Here is a 24,464-nt window from a genome sequence, read left to right as displayed (position 1 = left end):
ATATTTGATACCTCCTTTGTCAAATAAGTTCATTAAAATAATAACACACTGTTTGGGGGCTTTCCATTCAGTTCCTTTGATCTAGATGCCTGTGTTTGCACAAAAACAACTCTTTTGTTCAACCGAGTTAGATGGTTTAATATTAGCATTGTCTGGTTCTCAGAACATCATCCAAAATGACTCCTGTGATGGAGATGCTTTTGATTCGTGACTATCAGAAACCCCTTTGTGTACTTTTTGTTTTTGCTTTAAAATAAATTTTATTGTGTATATATAAGGTATACAACATGATGTTATAAGATATATATATATATATATAGTAAAATTGTTATATAGAAGAACAAATGACGATATCTATCATCTCACATAGTTTCCCTTTTTTTTTTTTTTTTTTAAGACAGAGTCTCGCTCTGTCGCCCAGGCTAGAGTGCAATGGTGTGATCTCAGCTCACTGCAACCTCTGCCTCCTGGGTTCAAGCAATTCTCCTGCCTCAGCCTTCCAAGTAGCTGGGATTATAGGCGCCTGCCAACTACGTCCAGCTAATTTTTGTATTTTTAGTAGAGACAAGGTTTCACTATGTTGGCCAGGCTGATCTCAAACTCCTGACCTCAGGTGATCCACCTGCCTTGGCCTCCCCCAAAGTGCTGGGATTACAGGCATGAGCCACTGCGCCTGGCCTAGTTACCCATTTTTTTTCCTCCTGTGGCAAGGAAGAAAAATCTAATTTAATTTAGCAAAAATCCTGAATACAGTGTACTATTTCTTATTAACTATAATCCTCATGTTGTACATTAGATTTTTTAGCTTGTTCATCCTTCATATTTGCTAGAGAAACCCCTTCATGTGCTGTTAAAGTGGGGAATTCGAGAAGCATTGTCTTGGTGTCTTTTATTCTACTGTCAACTCTGTTATAGTTTTTCTCATCCTGAAGACTGCAGCTCCTTAACACTGCCTCAGTTTCTAATGACCACGCATTCTCCCTTCATTGCCTCCAGAACTTCTCTGTGGCTGTATTTATCTGCCAGCAGTTTCTTCCTCTTGTCTAATTTTAACTTCCCTGTCCTGCTCAGTTTAACAAATCCAAAGGTTTCCCCATTTTAGAATGTATCTTGCTCTTTTAGGTTTCTGGTGTGCATTATTTCTCGTGTCCTTTAGACTGTCGCTTAAACGTTTGTGTGTCCTTTTCAATGTTGCTGAATTGTTCCACTCCTCTCACCTTGGTTATAGCAACACATTATAGGAACCCTTCTCCTAATAGAGAGAGATAGAGCCCAAAATCAGAAGGGGTAGCCAGATTAGGTGCTGGAGTCCATACACGAAGAATCTTGTAGCAGAGGCCTCCATTCAGAGTCTGCAGTTGATTTTGATCTGATTTTAATAAACTTTGCCTTTTGGTCTTGTGCGTACTTTTGCCTTACAGCGTTCTGAGAGGTATTGTAAGGGGGGTTGTTTCCGAAGCAGAGCTTGTTGGTGATGACAAAAAATGGCAGTGAGAGAACAAAGAAAATATTACACACAGCCATAAAACTCCAAAGCACAGCGGTGTGGTTTCATTTTGCCTTCATGCACACAACTACATGTATCTTCCTGGGGAGACGGGACTGACCACACTTGACAGTCAGACTTGAACTGTAGTCCCAGTTTGCCATTTACTGGCTGGGAGGCCTGGGCAGTTTCTCTGAGCTTGTTTTCTCCTCTCATAGATTTATTGAGAGGATTAAATGAAATTTAAGTTAAATGTGATAATGGGAGTAAAACACATAGTAAGTGCTCAGTGAACATCGGTACTTTTCTGCTCTCCCTTGTAAGAGTGTGGGTTCTCCAGACAAATAGAACCAATAGGAGACATAAAATGTCTATATATGAAGAGATTTGCTGTAAGGAATTGACTCATGTGATTATGGAGGCTGAGAAGTCCCCAGTTCTGCAGTTGGCAAGCTGGAGACACAGGAGAAGTAATGGACTTCTAGTCCAAGTCAGAGGCCTCTGATTATAAATACATGTTAATTGTAAAAAATTTCTTCAGTTGTTTTTATGTGAACTTTTTGTTTGTCCTAATTTCAGGGTTTGTCAATATTTCTCACATTTCCTCTTAAATTGGTGATACTATAACATTCCCTTTGTGAATTCTGCAAAACTTAGTAGAGTTCTTTTTCCTTACACTTACTGAACCATATATTTTGATCTTATGTTTCTGGTGCAGAGAGCAAGTGCTTCAATCTCTGTATCAAGATGCAGTGCTCTTGCCAACCTGATGATTAATTTCTTCCAGTGAGTATTTTCTCTTGAATGCCTAATGAAAGGATTCACACTAACAGATGAAGGAGGCCTTAAATTGTTTCCACAAAGCAAATAGTTTCTTATTTTTCTTTTTCTGCCTAATGAATTTACCACTCTCAACACAGATTTTTCCTACCTCTGGATCTTTGTGGTAACGATTGTGTTATTTTAACTATTTTGAGAAATTGCTAGTTTTTCTGGCAGTTTCTCAAAATAGTTAAAATAACACAAAATAAAATAAAATAAAACTGTTAAAATAAAACTGGTAGGTCATACAAAAATCTCCACCATTTAGAACTGGAGGAAAAATTAGAGATGTACAAAAATGTTAGTAGTACATTGACCATGTTCTTTTTAAAAATTAAAATAGGCCAAGTGCTATGGCTCACGCCTGTAATCCCAGCACTTTGGGAGGCTGAGGTGGGTGGATCACCTGAGGTCAGGAGTTTGAGACCAGCCTGGCCAACATACCAAAACCCCATCTGTACTAAAAATACAAAAATTAGCTGGGCTTTGTGGCGCATGCCTGTAATTCCAGCTACTCAGGAGGCTGAGGCAGGAGAATCACTTGAACCCGGGAGGCCGAGGTTGCAGTGAGCTGAGATTGTGCCACTGCACTCCAGCCTGGGTGACAGAGCAAGACTCCATCTCAAAAAATAATAATAATAAAATAAATAAAATAAAAAATAAAAATTAAAATAGTCTGTGAACTTTATGACCTGTTCGGCATAAGGAGGTGACCTCTTAAGGACCTGTTGCATGATATATAGAAATTTGTCACAAATAACATGCAGTTCTAGATTAGCTATAGTTTCTTGCTTCCTTATTTAACAGTTCCATGCTGGTTTGCACTTCTAGTGCTCTGATGACGGAGTGTCCCTTTTCTCAGTGTTAGTGCCCAGTTGCCATCTCTGACAATGTAGTGGTGGGTATAATAAATCTGTTGATAATTAACTGTGATATGGCATGTGAAGAGTAAATATTGTGTTTTGGGAATTCCAAAAGAAAGCTATCTTTTGGTTGGGAGATGGGGGTGCTGGCATTTGCTTTGGGTTTTGAGGGATGGGTGGCATTTCAGTTGGTAGAGGCAGTGCAGAGGGTCAGAGGTGGGGACATGCTGGGTGAACAGTTCTGAGGACAGTGGCCAGAGCACAGAGCAGTGGGTTTGAAACACCAGTGGGGCCCTGGACACAAATGAAGTTGGGTCATGGAGGATTCCTGGTCTTGTCTAGTGGGGAGAATGGACTAACCACTTACAGTCATCGTGATTTGGTGTTTTGTTTTTGTTTTTTTTTGATAGGATCTCACTCTGTCTCCCAGGCTAGAGTGTAGTGGCGCGTTCTCAACTCACTGCAGCCCCAAACTCCTGGGTTCAAGTGCTCCTCCCACCTAGCCTCCCAAGTAGCTGGGACTATAGGCAGGTGCCATCACGCCTGGCTAATTTTATTTTTTGTAGAGATGCAGTCTCCCTATGTTACCCAGGCTGGTCTTGAACTCCTGGACTCAAGTGATCCTCCCACCTTTGCCTCCCATAGTGTTGGGATTACAGACATGAGCTACTGTACCTGGCTGGTGGTATTTTTGATTAACCTCTTTCTCATAAAAACCACTGTGGGCAATGGGACAAAAATCTAACCGGGAGTCCTGGTTGGGCACTGATTAATTAAGATTTTCTTTTCATGGTAGTTTAGAGAAGTCAGGGGAGACAGATCAAACTTATGTTCAAAGACTGTTAGAACAGATGCAGGTTTAATATATTCTCAGCAGTGGTCTTTCATATTCCAGAGCATCTTACGGAAATTTCAAATTTATCCTTACATAGAAACTCATATGTGTTCAATGGAATCCTGAGGTGGTGTGAATACAGTGGGGATGTATGTGTCTATTTTCAAGAACTGCTCTGAATTTGTACTTACCTGTAGAAGGTGAAATAGGCAGATTTTTTTAGCCAGGTAATTAGAAGCTTACAATAGAAATAAAAATATTTTGATCGCTTCTTGGCCTTTTGTCTAAGATCAAGTGTAGTATAAAAATATTTTGTTTTATAACATTTCTCACAAACTTTTTCCTTCTCCACACCTTCTCTTTCGAACCATAAATTGTAGATGAGAGTGAAGTAAGGCTTTTAGGGCCATTTTTTTTTTCCCCTCATTAGGTTAGATCAGTTGGTGATACAATAGTTTTGCCTGTTTTAATTAAGGGTGAATATCGGTGAATGATAGTTGGAAAACATCTGATATTTTTCTTCAGAGTGGTTAAGTTATAAATAGTAACTACAGGGAGAGTTAGATTTGTTTTCATTTTTCTCTGCTGTTTTTTTTGGCCCCAATTTTCCCCTGTAGGTAATATAAATGTTACTCAAGTCTGGAAAGGGAGTTTTGTCCTCTCTTAATTTGATTTTCTTAACCAAGTCGACAGTGATTTTATTGGATCTAAGATGCCATTCATATTGTTATCTTATATATTCCTAAGGAAGGAAAAAAAAAAAAACACAATGAGGAATTTTGTAGGAGACCTTGCATAAAGGAAAGGAAAAATAAAATCATCTTGCAGGAAGGCACAGTAAGGAAATGTGTATATTTCAATCTTGGTATTAGGTAGGGAAGGAAAAAAAACCCTCTAATGAGATTCTCCACTCAGAGAATTTTTTTAAACAGCTCTATTGCAATATTAATTTATATCTCATATATATTCCTATTTTAATTATACAATTTAATGCATTTTAATGTATTTACAGAATTATAGAGCCATCACCACAATCTAACTTCAAAACATTTTTATCGTCTGAAAAAGAAATCTGTGCCTTTTTATAGTCATTATCTATTCCCACTCTTAGCTGGGGCATCCACTAATCTAATTTCTGTCACCCTCGGCTGGGGCAACCACTAATTTAATTTTTGTAGATATTTTATATAAATGGAATAATCTAATATGTATTATTTTGTGTCTACACATGTCATAGAATGTGTAGTACAGATAGATGCTCCTTGACTCATGATGGGGTTACCTCCTGATAACTTCATCATAAATAAAAAATATAGTAAGTGAAAATGCATTGGATACCCTGACAAACCCATCATAATGTTGGAAAATTGCAAGTTGAACCATCCTAAGTTGGGGACCATCTGCACTTCATTCCTTTTTATGGCTGAATAATATTCATTTATATGAATATATCACATTTTATTTATCTGTTCATCAGTTGATGGGCATTTGAGTCTTTTCCAGTTTTTGGCTATTGTGAATAATGCTGCTATAAACAATTGTGTACAGTCTTTGTATGAACATGTTTTAAATTATCTGCCATACAGACACAGAAGTGGAATTGGTAAGTTGCATGGTGAACCTATGTTTAACTTTTTAATGCCCTTTAGAATTTGAATTGTAAGCTGGTTTGGAGTCTGAATACATATAAATGGTGTAACCCCCAACAACTTCAAGCAGGTTATTTAACTTTAAGTGGATCAGGTTGGTGGTGTCCTCAGGTAATTGGCAGAAGCAAATGCAGATCCTCTCCCTAAGAACATAACTTTGATTTAGGGCAGTCAAAGTTGCTGTCAATTTTAAGATGTATCTTGGGGTTAGGGATATTCCATGATGAAAATTTGTGTGTCATAGAGTCAATGGTATATAGTAAATGGAAATAAAAGTTCTTTAAAAAGCTCAAGGTAAACAGCATTCCTGGTGTTTTTTCCTTGTTTCTGTTACCACTGGGCTTGCTTCTCTTTGTATTTTCTTTTGTCCTGTTAGATCTACTCTAATGGTCTGCTGTTGTGTTTAGACCTGCCACTGTGAAGTTCTTCATATAAATTCACAGGGGGAAGGAGAATGTGTGTAGTACACGTTTTAAGATATAGATCCTATAAATGCTGCTTTTCACTATGAGGAGTGACAAGATTTCATCACTTGAAGGAAAGCCTCTGAAGGAAAGCTCCTTAGCAACACTTTGGTGCAATTATCTCATCTTACCAAGGAGGTCCCAGCAGAGATGGAAGACTGAGTCGTGGTTGGGGTGTTGCTGGTGCAAAGTGAATGACCAGTGAACCCCTATGAGCAGGATCTTTGTGACTGTGGTTGCCTTTCTGCAGGCTCAGTGTCCTCTCTGACTTTCTCAGCCCTGGTAGCAATGCTCAGCTTGTGTCTGAAAGCCAGGACTTTGCTCTTACACTGAGTTCCTTGCCTCCTCCATAAGTAACCTTCTTGACATGGCTGCTGCTCCCTGCTGCTGTCTTGGGCTATTTTGGTAGTTGTAATGGGAAAGAGGTCCAATCATTGCTTCTTTTATCACTCACTAGGATGTTTCACAAACACATTAATTTTTATGTCCCAAACTGAACTCTTGGTATCCACCTCCTTTGTTTATCTGAAAACTTTGCCTTTTCTGTAAATGTCTCCACCCACCATCCACCCATTTGTTCAAGTCAGAAGCTTGGGAGACATCTTTGATTCCTTTCTTTTCTTTTAATTTCCACATTACCAAGTCTGATGATTTCTACCTCCAATATATATTTCCCATCCGTTCACTTTCCTCTCTCTCCGCTCTATTACATTAGCTTAAGTGACTATAAGATTTTGCTTGGACTACTTTAAGAGCTGGCTAATGGTTAATGTGTGTTCCCGCTTCTTTTGTTCTCTCCCTCTACTTTTCCAACTGCACCCCACTTACTCTCCATACAGCAGCCCAAGTTATCTTATTTTATTTTTTTTGAGATGGAGTTTTGCTCTTATTGCCCAGGCTGGAGTGCAGTGGTACGAACTCGGCTCACCGCAACCTCTGCCTCCTGGGTTCAAGCGATTCTCCTGCCTCAGCCTTCCTGAGTAGCTGGGATTACAGGCGCCCGCCACCGTGCCCGGCTAATTTTGTATTTTTAGTAGAGACGGGGTTTCTCCATGTTAGTCAGGCTGGTCTCGAACTCCCGATCTCAGATGATCCACCCACCTCGGACTCCCAAAGTGCTGGGATTACAGGCGTGAGCCACCGTGCCTGGCCTAAAATTATTTTTAAAAATAAGATAATTTGCGTCAGGCACGGTGGCTCATGCCTGTAATCCCAGCACTTTGGGAGGCCAAAACGGGTGGATTGCTTGAGCCCAGGAGTTTGAGACCAGCCTGACCAACATGGCAAAACCCCCTCTCTATAAAAAATACAAAAAATTAGCCAGGTGTGGTGACACATCTGTAGTTCCAGCTACTTGGGAGGCTGAGATGAGAGGATCATTTGAGCCGCAGAAGTCGAGGCTGTGTTGAGCTGTGATGGTGCCACTGCACTCCAGCCTGGGTGATAGAGTAAGACCCTGTCTCAAAAAAAAAATTTTTAATATGACCAATTTTGAACATCTACAGAAAGTAAAGAGGATAGTAAACCAAACCTTATATACTAATCACTTAGCTTCTATAGTTGTCAACTCAAGGCCAATCTTATTTCATCCATATCCTATCCCCAGATTATTTGGAATCAAATCCTAGACATGATAATTTATTTCTACCTCTAAATATATTAAAATATATTTCTTCAAAACAAAGACAGTCTCTTTCATAATTACCATTCAGATACCAAGATCAGGAAATTAACATTGATATAGAGCTATAGTTTAATCTGTATGCTTTATATGACATCATTTTATCTGTATTTAGCTTGCAAAGGTCGCTTTTTAAAAAATCACAAGACTGTTGTCACACCTAAAACATAATAATATCCGTCCAGTAACTGGTCAGTGCTCAAATTTCTCCGACTGTCTCATTTATTTTTTTAACAGTATGTTTGTGTGAATCAGGACAAGAGTGATCCTTTTAGAAATTAAATGGGATGATGTCACTGCTTGCTTAAAATCCATCCATGAGTTTTCCTGTCTAAAGCTGAAGACCCAATCTACCTTTGTTCATAAGGTTTGAGGTGGTTGGGCTCCCACATACTGCTTCTGCCTCATCGAGGGCAACTCTTGCCCTCATGCATGACCCTCCAGCCACAAGCCTTATACAGTTTTTTGTGAGAGTAAACCCTGTGCTGCTCCGGATTGGAGCGTGTTTGCCCTCACTCTTTTGAGGGCTTTTTGCTGGCCATCCTCCACTCTCAGCTGGCGTGTCCTCCCACTTTCTCAGTGACTCCACCAAAACAGTTAGTCTTCCCCCATTTCTCTGTCTTGGCATCTTGTTTGTTTCTATCACTCCATTTCTCATTTTGCAGTTAATTGTTACTTGTTTTTTGATCATCTGTTTTTTTGAGCTCCAAGTTCTATAACGATGGGTCTGATCTACTTTGCTTGTCATGGTGTACTTGGCACCTATGCACCATGCTTGTCACATAGTAGGTGCTCAGTATATATGTGTTGAAAAAATGAATGTGTGAAATTAATATACTGTCTTAGTCCATTTGGGCTGCCGTAACAAAATCCATTAGACTGGGTAATTTATAAACAATGGAAATTTATTTCCTCACTGCTTTGTAGGCCGCAAGGTCCAAGAGTAAAGTGGCAGCAGATTGAGTGTCTGGTGAGGGCCCATTCCTCATAGATGGTGCCTTCTTTGTGTCCTCACGTGGTAGAAGGAAGCAGAAAATAGTGGAAAGAGGGGAAAGAAAAAAAAAAGAAGAAGGAAAAAGGGCAAAGAGACTCCCTCAAGCTTTTTTGTTAGGGTACTAATCCCATTTACAAGGGTGGAACCCTCATGACCTAATCACCTTCCAAAGGCCCCACGCCATCACTTTGGGGGTTAGGTTTCAACATATGAATTTTGGAGGGACACAAACATTAAACCATAGCATGTACTATTAAGAAAATATAGGTGGATCCTCAGAGTAGACTGCTAGGATTTGCAGTAAATTAAAGAAAAAAATGTAGCCACCATTGAGTTCCTAATGAGTATAGGGCACAGTGATAATTGCTGTGATTATTCAAATGGTTAGTTAAGGGATCTTTTGGAATACACAGTTAAAAAAAAAGACTGTGGCTGATTGTGTTCATAAACTCAAATGCATATATAATTAAATAAAGTCCAAATGTTTGGGCATAGTAAACACTATCCATAATTGTTGGTGTCTCCATTGCCATTTTTCTCTGAAGGGCTGACTCAGTTTTCACTTGACGTTTGCATAAATGAGTGTCAGAATCTTAAAGGATACAGTGAGCTCATTGCCTTTTGTTAACTTTTTACCCTGTTTCACCTGACATCCTTTTTTTTTTTCTGACGCCTTCATCCATTCCCTTTTCATCTACCTCACGATAAAAATAGGAACCTAAGATGACTAATAAAACACCCAAAAGCATATACTTGGGAGCTTTGTCTTTTGAAATGCGCCAAACTTCTTCATTGCTTGTGTTCCGAAAATCATCAGCCTCTCTGGTCTCCTTTCTTTTTCCTTCTTCCCTCTTTCCCCCTTTTGTCTCTGCTTGTGGAACATTATTCTACGACCAGAGAATAGAACTCCTCAAAGGCATAGTGATATTTGGTTTAGGTACATTTTTGAATAGTGTATAGTTCAGTACCATGCATGATGCACATCTAATAAATAGTCTGAAGACTTAATAGCCATCAACAAATTGGAAGAACCCTGAAATTGCCTAAAACTGAAGAGATATTTGGGGATTTACATATAACTTTTATTATTGTATAAAGTAATTTCTATGTTATTTATTTTATTTTTATTGTCTAGAATGAAAATATTCATACCAGCAGCGGTCTTTTAAAATTACCTGATGAGCAGAATGTTATAGTTAGAATGAAAAATGTTAAAACTCCATATAGCTCTGATGAATTAACCTTTTCAAAGGTGTGGGCATAGTATTTGGTCTCCCCTGTAGGCAATACAGCTATAAGCTTTTGATTTTTATTTATTTTAGTAGTTAGGAAAGTTTTCTGCAAGCGTAACTTGACTTTTATGCAGCAAAAAAAAAAAAAAAGTGTGTGTGTTTGTGTGTGTGTGTGTGTGTGTGTGTGTGTGTGTATAAAGTTATGTGTGTCAGATCTCCCATTGGCTTAAGGGATTCTTTGCCATTTAAAAATTTCAGCTTAATTTGAAAGAAGTTATACCCATAATGTGTAGTTTGCTTTGATTAAAATAATTTTATGTAATCACTGTAAGAAAATTAAGCCTGTGATTGGTATTTAAAAAGTGTATTTTAAACGATACATTCTCTTTGTCTCGGTACAGTAGATGGGTCCTGTATTTTCAGCAGAACTTAGTTACTAAACTTGTATAAGGATACCTTTTCAGACAATCCCATAGAAGTAAAAATTATTTGGTAATATGTATTTAACCTACAAAATAATTTATTTGAAAGCATTTTGTAAAACTGCAAAGCGTAAAGCAAACGTAACATAGTATATACATATAATATATTGAAGAGCACTGCTGTTTTTGTAAAAGCATTATTTCTTTCATGATGTAAGACATTTTCATATAGCTGTTTCATACAGTCTCACAATGGCTACCTTAAACTATAAAAACACTTTTTAAAGATTTAAAAAAAGAACACATTAAAAAAAATCTAACAAATATCTAAGAAATAAAATTATCCCTGGTCATTTCCCAGTTCTGAGACCTACTCCATCAAAACAGGGAAAAGGAAGGAGAGGATGCCTTCATTGCATGGTTCTTTTTTTTTTTAATGCTGGTTTTATGAATTTATAGACACCCCAGGTTTAACAAGCCTTTATTGAACACATCCTTTACATCAAGCATTAAGCTATTTTAAGGGGACAGACTTGACAAAGGGGATGTGGGTATGGAATGGGAGTGTCCAGGAAGTCTCGAGTCCACATTTTTTCTCCAGTCAAGTCTCAATGTTGACACTGAGCCAGGGGCCAGGGTGCAAAGGGGAGAGGTTCACATGTGCAGGGATGTGTTGCTTTGTATGGTTCTTAGTAATAAAGGACAATAGTTGGAGATGTTATTGTTTAAATATTAAGAGCAAATTAAGGCATATAATTCTATCTTTTTTTGGGTAGAGAAGTCTGTTTCAAACATGGCACCAATAGGAAAAAAGAGTGATAGTTTTGATTGTTATGACAAAACCCTTACAAGCCCATTTCAAAGAGAAAATACTTGAACATATATGAAAGAAGGTTAACACTGCAAACAGACCCAGAAAGAGAATACTTTGATGATAATATTGGCAAAGGGACATAAGCAGACAATTAAAAGAAGAAATACAGGTCCGTCAGGCTGCTACATTAATTTCCTATGGCTGCTATAACAGATTAAAACTTGGTGTTTTCACATAATACAGGTTTATTTTCTTACAGTTCTGGAGGTCAGATGTCTGAAGTGGGTTTCACTAGGTCAAAACCAAGGTGTCCCATGGCCGTGCTCCCTTGAGAGGCTCTAGAGGAGAATCCATTTCCTTGCCTTTTCCAGTATCTAGAGCTACATTCCTTGCATTCTTTGGCTCTTGGCCACATCCTGCATCTTCAAAGCCAGCAGCATAGCATCTTCAAATCACTCTCCTTCCATGGTCCCACCACCTTCTGTTTTTTTGTGTCTCTCTACCTCCCTCTTGTAAGGAAATTTGTGATTGCCTTTAGGGCCCACTCAAATAACCCACAATAATGACTCTGTTCAGGATCCCTAATATCTATAAAGTCTCTTTTGTCATATAAGGTACCATTCATAGGTATTAAGGCCTGGATAACCTTGGGTGCCATTATTCAGACTACCACACCTATCAAATAGCATGTGGGGTGGAACGATACACATATGTTTATCTGTGTATGTATGCATGAAGCCTGTGCAAGGACATACATATGGTATGTTTGGGATTATTTCAGTGTGTTGAGATTACAGGGTATTTATAATTTTCGAAAAGTTCCTTTTATATAACTGTTTTGCATTGTCAGAATTTTTATGGAATGTATTTTATTAGTGATCAGAAAAAGCTAAGAAACTCTTGGAAAGATGATTTTTTAATAGACAGTTTTGTAAGAACAATTTTAGATTTACAGAAAACTAGAAAATGTAGTAGAGTTCCCACAGACCCTTATACCTAGTTCCCCCTACGATTAGTATCTTACATTAGTATCGTACATTTGTTACAGTTTATGAACCATTTTGGATACACATCACTAACTAAAGTCCATACTTTGTTCAGATTTCCTTAGGTTTCACCTAATATCCTTTTTTTTTTTGAGATGGAGTTTCACTCTTGTTGCCCACGCTGGAGTGCCATAGCGCCATCTTGGCTCACTGCAACCTGTGCCTCCCAGGTTCAAGCCATTCTCCTGCCTCAGCCTCCCAAGTAGCTGGGATTACAGGCATAAGCCACCACGGCCGGCTAATTTTTTGTATTTTTAGTAGAGATGGGGTTTCACCGTGTTAGCCAGGATGGTCTTGATCTCCTGACCTCATGATCCGCCCGTCTCGGCCTCCCAAAGTGCTGGGATTACAGGCGTGAGCCACTGCGCCCGGCCCACCTTTTGTAATTTCTTAAAGGATATGTTGTAATTGATTAAATACTTAAGATCTGTACACATTACATCAATTATTCTCTTACATGTTACATATTATCCACAAAAATGTAGTTGGAAGCTGGACTTAATTAATTTTGAAAGGAAAAAAGAAAAATTAGATGAGAGATATTTATATTGATGGAAAAATGAAGGTGTGAAATGTACTTTACTAATAATTTTGCATTTGGGCTTGCAGTTCTCTTTTCCTTCCTTGAAAAAGCCTGAACTTCACAACACCAGGTCTTTTCATGTTTCTAAAGAATCTATAGTTTTCTTTTGTAGTACAGCGCACATGATATTTGCTGTCGTTTGGTGAATATCTGGCTCCCCAACTGGACTGAGAGCTCCAGGGGAGCAGGGACCTTGTGGGCTCTGCTCCCTGCTATATCCCCTGTGCCTGGTGCATAGTAGGCATACAGATACAAATGGACTGTCATTGCATATGCTCTTTTGAACTTTTAGAAATATGAGTGGTTAACTATAGGGTACATTTTTGGGTAAATAATCATAACAATTCTGTGTGAAAAGGGTAATTTAAAATAGTAGTATCAAAAATACATTTAGCTGTCTTGTCCCCTCCATATATACTACATATATATATATATATATATATATATATATATATATGTATATGTATGTGTGTGTGTGTGTGTGTGTGTATGCGCGTATATATATAGAGAGGAAGAAAACTAGAAGTATATTATTGCAAAACATTAAGAGTGGTTATCTCTGGGTTATGAGATTATGGCTGGCTTTAATTTTTTTTGAGATGGAGTTTTGCTCTTGTTGCCCAGGCTGGAGTGCAATGGCGCTACTCAGCTCACCGCAACCTGCACCTACCCAGTTCAAGTGATTCTCCTGCCTCAGCCTCCCTAGTAGCTGGGATTACAGGCATGCGCCACCACGCCTGGCTAATTTTATATTTTTAGAGGAGACGGGGTTTCTCCATGTTGGTCAGGCTGGTCTCGAGTTCCCAACCTCAGGTGATCCACCCACCTTGGCCTCCCAGAGTGCTGGGATTACAGGCTGTCTTTAATTTTCTTCTTTGTTTTTTAGCTCTTTCCAAGGAATTTACTATTTTATAATTTGGAAATACCACAATATTTTACCTGGTATTACTTTTTGTTTTTTTGAGATGGAGTCTCGCTCTGTCATCCAGGGCAGAGTGCAGTGGCGCAATCTTGGCTCACTGCAACCTCCACCTCCCGGGTTCAAGCGATTCTTCTGCCTCAGCCTCCCGAGTAGCTGGGACTACAGGCGTGAGCCACCACACCCAGCTAATTTTTGTATTTTTAGTAGAGATGGGGTTTCAGCATATTGGCCAGGCTGGTGTGGAACTCCTGACCTTGTGATCTGCCCCCCTCAGCCTCCCTAAGTGCTGGGATTACAGGCATGAGCCACTGCGCCTAGCCCTGGTATTACTTTTATAATTAGAAAAATTAGTGAGTCCTATACTAAAAACGTTTCAATTCTAGCATGTGCAAGAGCCCTTGAGGCAAGATAAGAAATTTGTGAAGTCAACGACCACCTTATTCCCCAGGAGAGCTTTTATCTATTTAAACCAAAAAAGTATAGCTGAACTTTAGAACTATGTTCTATCTTAGGGTCTTTGAACTAGTATTTCCTATGCCTACTATCTTCTAGTTTCATCAAAACCACTTCAAATATTGTTGATCAATTATCAATTTAAAAGTGGAGTTTTCCAACTATCTTGGTATGACTGTCATGTCATATATGTGTTTAATTCCCTTTGCTAATTTAACTTTTGTGCATTAATCTAAAAACTTAGGGGAAAAGTTGATTTTCTCTTATTTAGTATTTTTTTAAAGTCCATGATATAAAATCTGCGTCTCAGTCGGCAATAACAGCCTACATTTTTCCTTAAGACAAAAGGGATCATTCTTTTTTTTTTTTCTTAATTGTCCCTTTTTAGATAGGACATGAATCCCTGGATTAGGTGAAAAATCATGAAAATATTCTGTGGTTTTTATAAATCCAGGCCATTTGTATGTTCCTTGCCTGTTTCTCTAGATAATTAAACAGTGATGGATTAGAATTAGGCTGCAGCAGAGATTGGGGGAAAAAAAATCTCCCGGCATCCCTTCCTGCAGAAGCATCCGCTACAGCAGTGAGTGTAGCTGCCACTTTAACTGACATGTCTTAAATTCTGCCCTGGAAAGCCCTGGGATGCTGTCAGCTGCCTCGGCAACTACTTTGCTTGTGCCTGAGAATTGAGAGTCTCACTGGAGACCAAGGAATAAAATAGAAATTGAGGATTTTTGTTGGCTCTAAAATTGAGGTTTGTCTCTTCTTTTAGTTGGCTTAAAAAAAAATCTGGTAGAAGAGAGGGAAAGACATCTTCATAGTGGGACTATATTCATTCCTCCAAAGTTACAGCTGCTCTAAATCTGTGAGTATGTCATATTTATTTAGCAGTTCCTGGGTTTATGATTCAAATGTTCTCTTTAAATCTATGAGGGTTTAATTTAAGGAAGGCTATGTAAATTTTTTAAACTCCAGTTAAATTTCACTGGAACCTGCAGTTTTTGTTAGATGACATTGTCTTCATTAAGAGCTTCATGTCAAGCCTGCTTGGCTTCCCCTCTGACCCTCCCCCCAACCTTTTTAAAACTTCCTAAGGTGAGTGCTGAAATTGAAGAAAATAGTGTGACTTGCTGCGGAGGAGGATCTGGTCTTCCCGGGATGCCATGGCTGGTTTATTGCTGCTGCAAGGTGTGCGTCTGGGCGGCTGAGACTCCTGCTGCAGAACAATGGCAGGATGATGCTGGTTCACTTTGTATTTACTGTTTGTCTTATGTCCTCTGCTGGTTTCATTATAGCATTTTGTTTTGTTTTGTTAGGGTAATTAGAACCTTAGAGATTAGTAAAGTGGCTTGTCCTCAGAAATAGCATGTGTTGATTGTCCTAGACTCTCACCTCTGACCTTGCTGTGCTGGCTTTAGTGGTCTCTTTGTAGCAGATTACAGTAAATGTGAGCTACCAAAAAGTGACCTTTGTATGGCCACCTTTTAAAATTGTGCATCAGAATCAATGCTGGGTATTTTTTTTGTGTGTGTGACGCAGACCCTGGAGTCTAAACATCTGTCCTTAGTCATCGTGTCCCATTTTCCCCCTTTGGAATTTCCTGGACGTTAGAATTGTATCCTTGCTGAATTAGTGAGTGAGTTTTGAGCATTCTCTAAAGATAAGTTAATTTTTGATTCTCACCATAACCCCCATATGTTCCTGATTTGTCTTTGTTGAATAAAAGTCATATTATTGAACAGATTCATATAATTTGGCTACTGATTTTGTTCCTTTATCTTAAAATTACATTAGCTGAAATGATTTTTAAAAGTTGATATGTTCAGAGATCAGTAGTCAAAATACTTTTAAACACCAACTGGTAACAGTCATCGTTGTAGATGCAGAATATGTTTGACTTAGGCTGACATATTATAGGAGCTTTTTGGGTGCCAGTATTTTGGTTGACTTCCTGCAGGGTAAAATAAATCAAGGATTTAAAAAAAGAAATTTTCTCTACCACCCAGAGATCAAACATCTGCTGTTTTTATTTTTAAACATTTTGTCATACCTAAATGCAGCAACTTTGAATTTAATTAGGAAGGATTGCTAAAATTAGGAAATTCTGCCTTACTTAAACTTGCAAAGATCTTATATTCGTTCATTCATTTCATTCATTCATTCATTCATTCATTCATTCAAAAATGTTTACATCTGTTACGAAGCTCTTGCCAGGCTCTGGGGATATGATGCTGAACAAAATATTGTATCTTCCCTCATGGAGCAGATATTTTTAGCAGATGAAGAGGGCATTAAAAAACTGATTACCTAATTTCATTAAAATTGTGGTAATTTTTCACCTGTAGAAGTGTAAGTACTTTGTGGCCAAACATATAGGACATATAAATACCTGCAACTAATTCTGCCCCAGATCTGAAGGTACAGATCCCTAGAATGCTTAAGCTGGAAAGAGATGTTGGAAATGAGTTAACTGGTTCAGCAAGCATGTGGTCAGTGCTATAGTAAGTGCTGAGTTTAGGTCAGTAAGTGAGAAATGGTTCTGCTTTGGAGGAGCTCATAGTCTTAGTGGAAGAGGAAGGGAAATTGGCTATGTTAGAATGTTCTGTCATCAATTTCCCATTTTACTGGAGAAGAAACAACCTAGATTATTTTTAAAATGTCTTATGTGCCAGGCCCAGTATCTATGGTAAATCTGTTTTTGGCTTTTAAAAAAAATCTTCAACAGCAACCATGTTGATTGACCTTAATGCTCCCATTTTCCAAATGAGGAAAACGAGGTGCACAAAGACTAACTCAGTTGCCTAGGGTCACTCAGAATCCTGATTGTAACTCCATCATGCTAAAAGTTGGCAACTCTGTGCTCCTTGAAGCTGCTGGATTATGTCCCTTAGTCATAGGTTGGTTGGGGGAGCCCCCTCGTTTTTTTTTTTTCCTTTTTCTTCTTCTTTTTTCTCCTAAAGCCACAGTGCACTCCTAAATATCATGCTATTATGAAACAGGAAAATGCATAGTTTTTTTTTGCCTCATGCCCAGAGGTCTTCCTAACATTTTGTACTTGCTTTCCACCTGTTAACAGCACATATACATTTATGTCTTTGGTTCACTTTAGAAAGGACAGGATTGCACTTATGGGCAGATTATGCTTCAGTGGCAGGCCAGTTAAGGAACGTGGAAAACATGCACCCTAGAAGAGGAATGCTAATGGAAAAATCAAGGGTTTCTTGAATTTTAGGTCCAGAATGCTGTTCACCAACATCAGCAATTCCCTATAGGGCCGCCATGTTCAGAGTTGTACACAGGACTTGTCTCCTGTAATGAGTTGGAATTCTTGCAAATTTGAAAATTGAGGGTAGGGAGTAACTTTTCAGGAGAGATATTATAGCACATCTTGATTCTAAAGGCCATTTGTCCATTTCCTTTCTGAATGACTGTTAGAATGTTCTTCCTTAGAATGAAGTCTTCCTTATCGAAGATGAACTTTACCTCTCTACAGCCTCCTACCCACTGATCTTAAGATAAAACCACTCTAGTGTTTTTACAAAGTAGTCTTTCAAATATGTAAAATATTCTCCCTACCAGTCCCTGGTGGATCTTCGTATATCCAAGCTACACATCCTCAGTTATGTCACTTCTCTCTCCTGTGACATATTTCATGCTTCTCTCCATTCTGATCTCTTTGAATTTGACCTGTCATAGTTTCTAGATGGTTACAACCAAAACTGGACACTATTTCTAGTTTTGTCTGGTCAGCCAAGAGTGCAAATGGGTCATTTGTTTCTCATGATGCAGTAATGTTATTCTTCTGTTAATGTTTCCTATGCTGCATATCAATAGCTGTGTAACAAATCACCACAGAGCTTAGTAGACTTAAAACAATAACAATCATTTATTTGCTTATGAATCTGAAGTTTATGCAGGTCTCAGAGGAAATGACTCATCTCTGCCCACTTGGAATCACCTGGGGTGGCTCAGCTGGAGCTGGAGGAGCCATTGCTATGATGGCTCACTTACCTGGCTGGCCAGTTAGTATTGGTTGTCAGCTGGGAATTTAGCTAGAACTGTTGTCAGGGGCTTTGTTCTTCTCCATGTTGTTGCTTGAGCTTCCTCACAGCATAGCAATGTGGTTCTGAGCTTTAGTATTCCAAATGACAAGAAGTAGCAACTGCTAGTCTTTAAGATTTGGACCCCAAACTAACACAGTGTTGTATTGGTCAAGTAGTCACAGAGACCACCTTGATTCAAGAAGTGGGGCCATAGACCTCACTTCTTGACAGGAAGGGTGACAAAGAATTTGTGGCCGTTTATAATCTACCACACTTGCCAAATTTTTGGTCTCTGTCCTTCTCTCTATTTCCAGCTGAGTCATACACCTTAAACTCCTCAACTAAAACCCCAAGAGTTAGATTTGAATTTTTGTTAAGGTGAGTCTCCTCACCTTAATGAGATACCCCTCTGCAGACTAACATCAAGACATTAACCAAAATGTTATGTGACTCTGGTGATTTATTTATTTATTTATTTTTTGAGATGGAGTTTCCTGTCACTCTGGTTGCCCAGGCTGGAGTGCAATGGCGTGATCTCGGCTCACCACAACCTCTGCCTCCCAGGTTCAAGCAATTCTCCTGCCTCAGACTCCCTAGTAGCCGGGATTACAGGCATGTGCCACCACGCCCAGCTAATTTTGTATTTTTATTAGACACAGGGTTTCTCCATGTTGGTCAGGCTGGTCTCGAACTCCTGACCTCAGGTGATCTGCCCGCCTGGGCCTCCCAAAGTGCTAGGATTACAGGTGTGAGCCACCACGCCCGGCCTGGTGATTTATTTGGGTAAGAAATGACTTAACAGTGCCATTCTACCCAAGTTCTCTGACTTAGCCAGAGAAATTTAGGTGGTAATTGCAGAAGAGCAAACAGAACATGAGTTTGATGTGAATTTCATGCATGGTTTACTTTTCTTTTGATGTTTCGTCAGTCTACAGATGTGGAAAGTCTTTAGTGACCAAGTGGTATGGATGGATTTCTTCGGTGATCATTTTAGATTAATGGGTTATAGAATATTTTATTTTGAGTTATTATAGGTGGCTGTAATTTAGAAAGCAGGAAAGTATGAAACCAAGACTTGAATTTCTCTTGTGGTTTGGGGCTGTAGTCATTGTTTTCTTAGTTAGTAGTTGTGACAGAATTTGAGCCCTTCATTCCAGCAATCCAGGACCCAATATATAGCGTTTATTTGCCATCACCCCTCCTTAATATTAGCTTAGGTGTTTTTGTTTTTATTTTTTAAAGTAATAGCATCCCTGTATAGCAAAACCATTTCATATGCCTGCTTGATACCACAGGCTGAATAAATACAGCACATTAACTATGGAAACAGCCACATATTGAAGAACTAAAGAAAAACTCTAGAGTTTAATTACTCGAATATTTATATGCTCCTTCTTCAGTTTTGTTTGTTTTTCCTACTAATAGATATTTGTAGGGAGAGCCCTTATATCTACTGAAAGCTGCTTGTTTGTGAATGAAGGTTTCTGTGATGAAATATTCATGGGTACTTTTCATGATCTACATATGTGACATAAAATGCCAAGTAGGAAGACTGAATTTGATGCAAGGGGCTAATTGCATCAGGAAGAATGTCATTCATTCATCAAGCAGTCATTGAACATCTCTGGATTAAGAAACAGATAGTTCCTGTTCTTAAGAAGCTCATAAGCTACTCACTGTAATTGAAAAGTAGACCAATAATTATACTATGAGTTGTAAACTCCAACCAGAGAACCCAGAGAAGAAACATACTATCTAGCCTGAGAAAATGACTTTTTGGAAGCCTTTATTTTTTTTCTTCCTCCATGGATCATGAGGCAAATAAAAGGAAAACTTGTTGTCAGAATTGTCTTTAGAAAAACTTTGTTACTCTTTGTTTTAGGTGGTGATATTTTAAAAGAAAAGACAATGTCCCCCCCATTCAGTGTCCCACTGAAAACCTGTATTTGCTCTACATCTGAAAATATCTGCATTCCAACGTGGAGCGATGCAATGCAAATGGCAAATGCTGCCTCAGTGGCCTCTGCCCCATGACTGCAGGAAGCATTAAGCAGAACTGCTGAATAGCAGGAATATAATGGTCTGTCTAATGGGAAGTTCTTGGCTCCCATAACTCCTCTAATAACATCAGCACCACTATACTCCTCTATAACTCCTCTAATAACATCAGCACCACTTCATTCCCTTGCATTTATGTGATGTTTCAGTTTAAAAAGCGATTTTACAAAATGGAGCACGTTCTTTCCTCGTGGTATCTCTGGGAGGGACATAGGGCAGGTGTTGTTATTGCTGCTTTGCTTTTGCAGATAGGGACACTGAGACCCACTGAGGTGAGGAAGTGGCGCAAAGCCACACTGCCCGCCAGTGACTGGCGTACCTAGGACAGGAACACAGTGGTCTGCTATGTGTCCCAGCATGCCTTCTCCTAAATCACGCTCCAGTCATGTGGTAAGAGAGGATAATTCATAGATTAGGTAAGAAGTTTTCAGTCAGAAATAAGAGAACCCTCCAATAGGGAAAGGATTTTTGTTTGTTTTTAATTTAAAAAATCAGCAAAGAAAACTAGCAAAATGAAACAGGAGCTGTGCCTATCTCTTGCCAATCCAACATTCCATTGTTGTTTGTTTTAAATAATGTGAAGGAGTCTGATTTGCTTGCCTAAGGAAAGAATTTGAAAAGATACAGGCTCTGGTTCTAAGTTTCCAACTTGGTCAGTAATTTGCTATGACTATGGGCAAGGAAAACAGCAGCTGTTGGAGTAGTTTCTTTTGCTGAAAGAGATAGTAAGCACTACCTTCCATTTTCTTTCTAAAATTTTTTTTTAAATGAAAAGAAAATGTTTTTAGAGACTCCAGCCTGGGCGACAGCCTGTGCACTTCACAGTGCTGCCCACTGCAGCTTTGAACTCCTGGGCTTAGGCTGTCCTCTCAGCCTCCTGAGTAGCTAAGACTGCAGGTGTATGCCACTACATACGTCCAATTTTTTATTTTTTTGTAGAGATGGGCTATTGCTATGTTGCCCAGGCTAGTCTAGAAGTTCTGGGCTCAAGTGATCCTCCTGCCTCAGCCTCCCAAAACACTGGGATTACAGGTGTGAGGCACTGTACCCAGCCTGCTTTCCATTTTCTTAGTGAGTAGCGTCTTTGACATGAAGTTAAAGCCAGGTACTATGAGTGCTCACCTGATTTTTGGTTCTTACGAAAGTGCTTTTTTTCTGTAGACAGTTGTTAAATTGGTTTCCTTGCAGGGGCGATGACCAGTGGAGCCTTATATTCTGCCATCTTGCTCTGCCCCTTAATGAGTAGGGTCTGAATCATGCTTTGTATTGTATATGAAAATGTACTTGTATTCTTTTCAACTGTTCTCCTTTACTCTGGAACTTTCATCCCCATTGAGGACAGAAAAGCACATTAAGTGGTCAATTAAAAATTACATCATCTGTTCAAATTTCCAGCAGTCTGTTTTGGAGTGACTCAGGTTTTCTGGGAGATGTGGGAGGGGTAAATGCCCAGTTAAGTAAAAACTTAAACTCTGTATCAGGCTTATATCTTCCTTCTTAAAAGGTTTTCCCTCTCTCTCCTCCTTCTGACATGGCGTTGGGTGCAGGAAGAGGTGGTGTACAGATGGCCCCTGTCTGGGGACTGCTGCCTGGTAGAGGGCCCCATCCTGTTGTCTTTGCATTGGCCTCTCTCCTTGCTGCCTCTGCCACCAAAGGATTTCTGGACTGTTGGTGTGCCTGTGGCCCAAGGGCTTGGCATTCTCCACTGGCATTGGTTGGCCCACAGGTTCCTGAGATCCAGCGGCCACTCACATTTAATCGCTGTCTCTGCCCTTTGTTACAGAATCATCATGCCAATAAGCAGTCTTTTAAAAAAACATTTTTATTTTATGATAATTCCAAACTTACAGAAAAAGTGCAAGAATAACACAGAGAACTTCTGAATGCCCTTAATTCAGTTTTAACATTTTGCCATATTTGTTTTATTATTCTATGTATATACATTATTAGGTATTTTCTGAGTCATTTGAGAATAGGATTTTGCTCCAGAGAAGGTGGTCTAGAAGGATGAACCAAAATCTTTCTAGTGAATGGAGCTTTCATATTCCTTTCTTTTCTCTGCTTTCTTCCAATTCTTCTTTCTTTCTTTCTTTCTTTTTGAGATAGGGTCTTGCTCTGTCACCCAGGTTGGAGTGTAGTGACATGATCACAGCTCACTGCAGCCTCAACCGTCCTGTTTCAAGCGATCCTCCCGCTTCAGCCGCCTGAGTAGCTGGGACTACAGGTATGCACCACCAGGCCTGGCTGATTTTTCGTATTTTTTGTAGAGATGGGGTCTCCCTATGTTGCCCAGGCTGGTCTCAAACTCCTGGACTCAAGTGATCCGCCTGCCTTGGCCTTGCAAAATGCTGGGATTACAGGCATGAGCCACTGTGCCCAGCCTGCATTTCCCGTTGTTGATATTCTTAAAAGTGTATGTCTAGACCATCAGATAGGCCAGGTGTGACTGGTCTGACTAGAGGAGAATGATGTTATCCTTCATTTGCTCCTTTGTTTATTTATTTAATCAACCAGCACAGTGGTATTGAAGATCATTACCTGCAAGACACTGTACTAGGTGCTGCGATACAATCCTGCCTTTATGAAGTTTGTACTCTGATTAAGAGATAATTATATTTTTAAGTCAGAGTTAATTAGGCTGCTTGCGGTGGCTCATGCCTGTAATCCCAGCACTTTGGGAGGTCGAGGCAGGTGGATCAACTGAGGTCAGGAGTTTGAGACCAGCGTGACCAATATGATGAAACTCCGTTTCTACTAAAAATACAAAAATTAGCCAGGTGTGGTGGTGGCATGTGCCTGTAGTCCCAGCTATTCAGGAGGCTGAGACAGGAGAATTGCTTGAACCCAGGAGGCAGAGATTGCAGTGAGCTGAGATCCCACTACTGCACTCCAGCCTGGGTGACAGAACTAGACTCTGTCTCAAAAAAAAAAAAAAAAAAGAGTTAATTAAAAGAAACTTACGAAAGATTACTATTTTCCTCATTCTAGATGCTATAGTTTTCTTAATACAGCTTAAGTTGTATCAGGATTCATATTCTGTTGTGTTCACAAATTCATTTAAAATAATTCACAACTTTTTACAATGTTTTTAAGTCACATCTCTTTTATCCTGTTTTTATTCAGTTAGATTTTATAAATTATAAATTCAGGAATTTATAATTTATTCTCACTCAGGTATCATCTTTGAGAGCAGGCATGCTATTATTTTTTGTGCTTTAACATCTGATACCATGCCTGGAATATGGCATTCCTAAATGTTTATGGATAAAAATTAAATTTTAGTTTACTAAATATAAGTCATCCACTTAGAGCATTATCTTTTTAAATTATGGTTCATTCACTGCTATCTTTTCCAGTTTCATTGTTTTGCAGAGTTTTTTTTTTTTTAACCTTGCATTCTCTATTTTAATCCCAGTTTCTGATACAAATGTAAAACACATGATAAAGGGAAGTACCTCTTGAGAGAAGCTGTTCAAACAGTTATGAATCCATCTATTTGAATGAGCTTGTCATTCCCCATTTTCCATACAGAGCTAAGGGACACTTGGCAAATATCACATTCACATGGGCCTCATGTGCTACATTTTTCTCATCTGCCAAAGATGGGAAACACGGCTGGTATTAGAGAACTCGTGAGAGCGCCATCTCTTAGCTTCCTATGAGGGCTGATTCCTTCAATAAGGCATGAATCATTGTTCGTTTTTAGCAAAGGTAGATGCATGAAGGACCAGATTGAGATGGTAAATATGCATAAAGTAATAAGTTTGAAAGCAGTTCAGGAATATAATAGTAGACCTATTGAAGCATGTTATCAATGCAGGAAATAGAAAAGATAAAATTAGAAAAACCACATTCAAGAACTGACTTTTTTAAAGTAGTGAAAGGTTGGAAGACTTCTAAAAGGTCTAAAATAACATGAGAAACACATTGAGTAGTGATGTATTCTGACTTCTTCATGTGGAGAGGGCCAAAAATAATAAATTATACTGTTCTTGCATATTTCTTAGATAACTATTTTGAGTTATGTGTGATAAAAAGGGATGATCAGAGGGTGTTTCCTTAAATTAATATTTGAATATTCCCTTCATGAATATAGA

General features: G+C 38.9%; 1 protein-coding gene across 11 annotated transcripts in view; it reads left to right on the top strand.

Annotated features, from left to right (window-relative positions):
• The window catches only part of TTC39B (tetratricopeptide repeat domain 39B), a 143,595-nt gene that overhangs the window by 42,168 nt on the left and 76,963 nt on the right, over window positions 1-24,464 (top strand). The window contains exon 1 of one of the 11 annotated variants that reach the window (XM_047422828.1): window positions 2,051-2,272. The exons of 7 other annotated variants lie outside the window; for them this stretch is intronic. In XM_047422828.1, coding sequence (XP_047278784.1) covers window positions 2,190-2,272 — 83 coding nt within the window. In that variant the 5' untranslated portion in view covers window positions 2,051-2,189. Of the gene's footprint in view, window positions 1-2,050; window positions 2,273-14,830; window positions 15,132-24,464 lie in introns of those variants that run through there. 3 more of the 11 variants (XM_017014312.2, NM_001168342.2, XM_024447423.2) reach the window with 3 other exon arrangements.

This window comes from Homo sapiens, chromosome 9, assembly GCF_000001405.40.
Source record: "Homo sapiens chromosome 9, GRCh38.p14 Primary Assembly".
Classification (NCBI taxonomy): domain Eukaryota; kingdom Metazoa; phylum Chordata; class Mammalia; order Primates; family Hominidae; genus Homo; species Homo sapiens.
The sequence above is the reverse complement of the archived record's forward strand: the minus strand, read 5'-3'. Positions and strand labels throughout refer to the sequence as shown.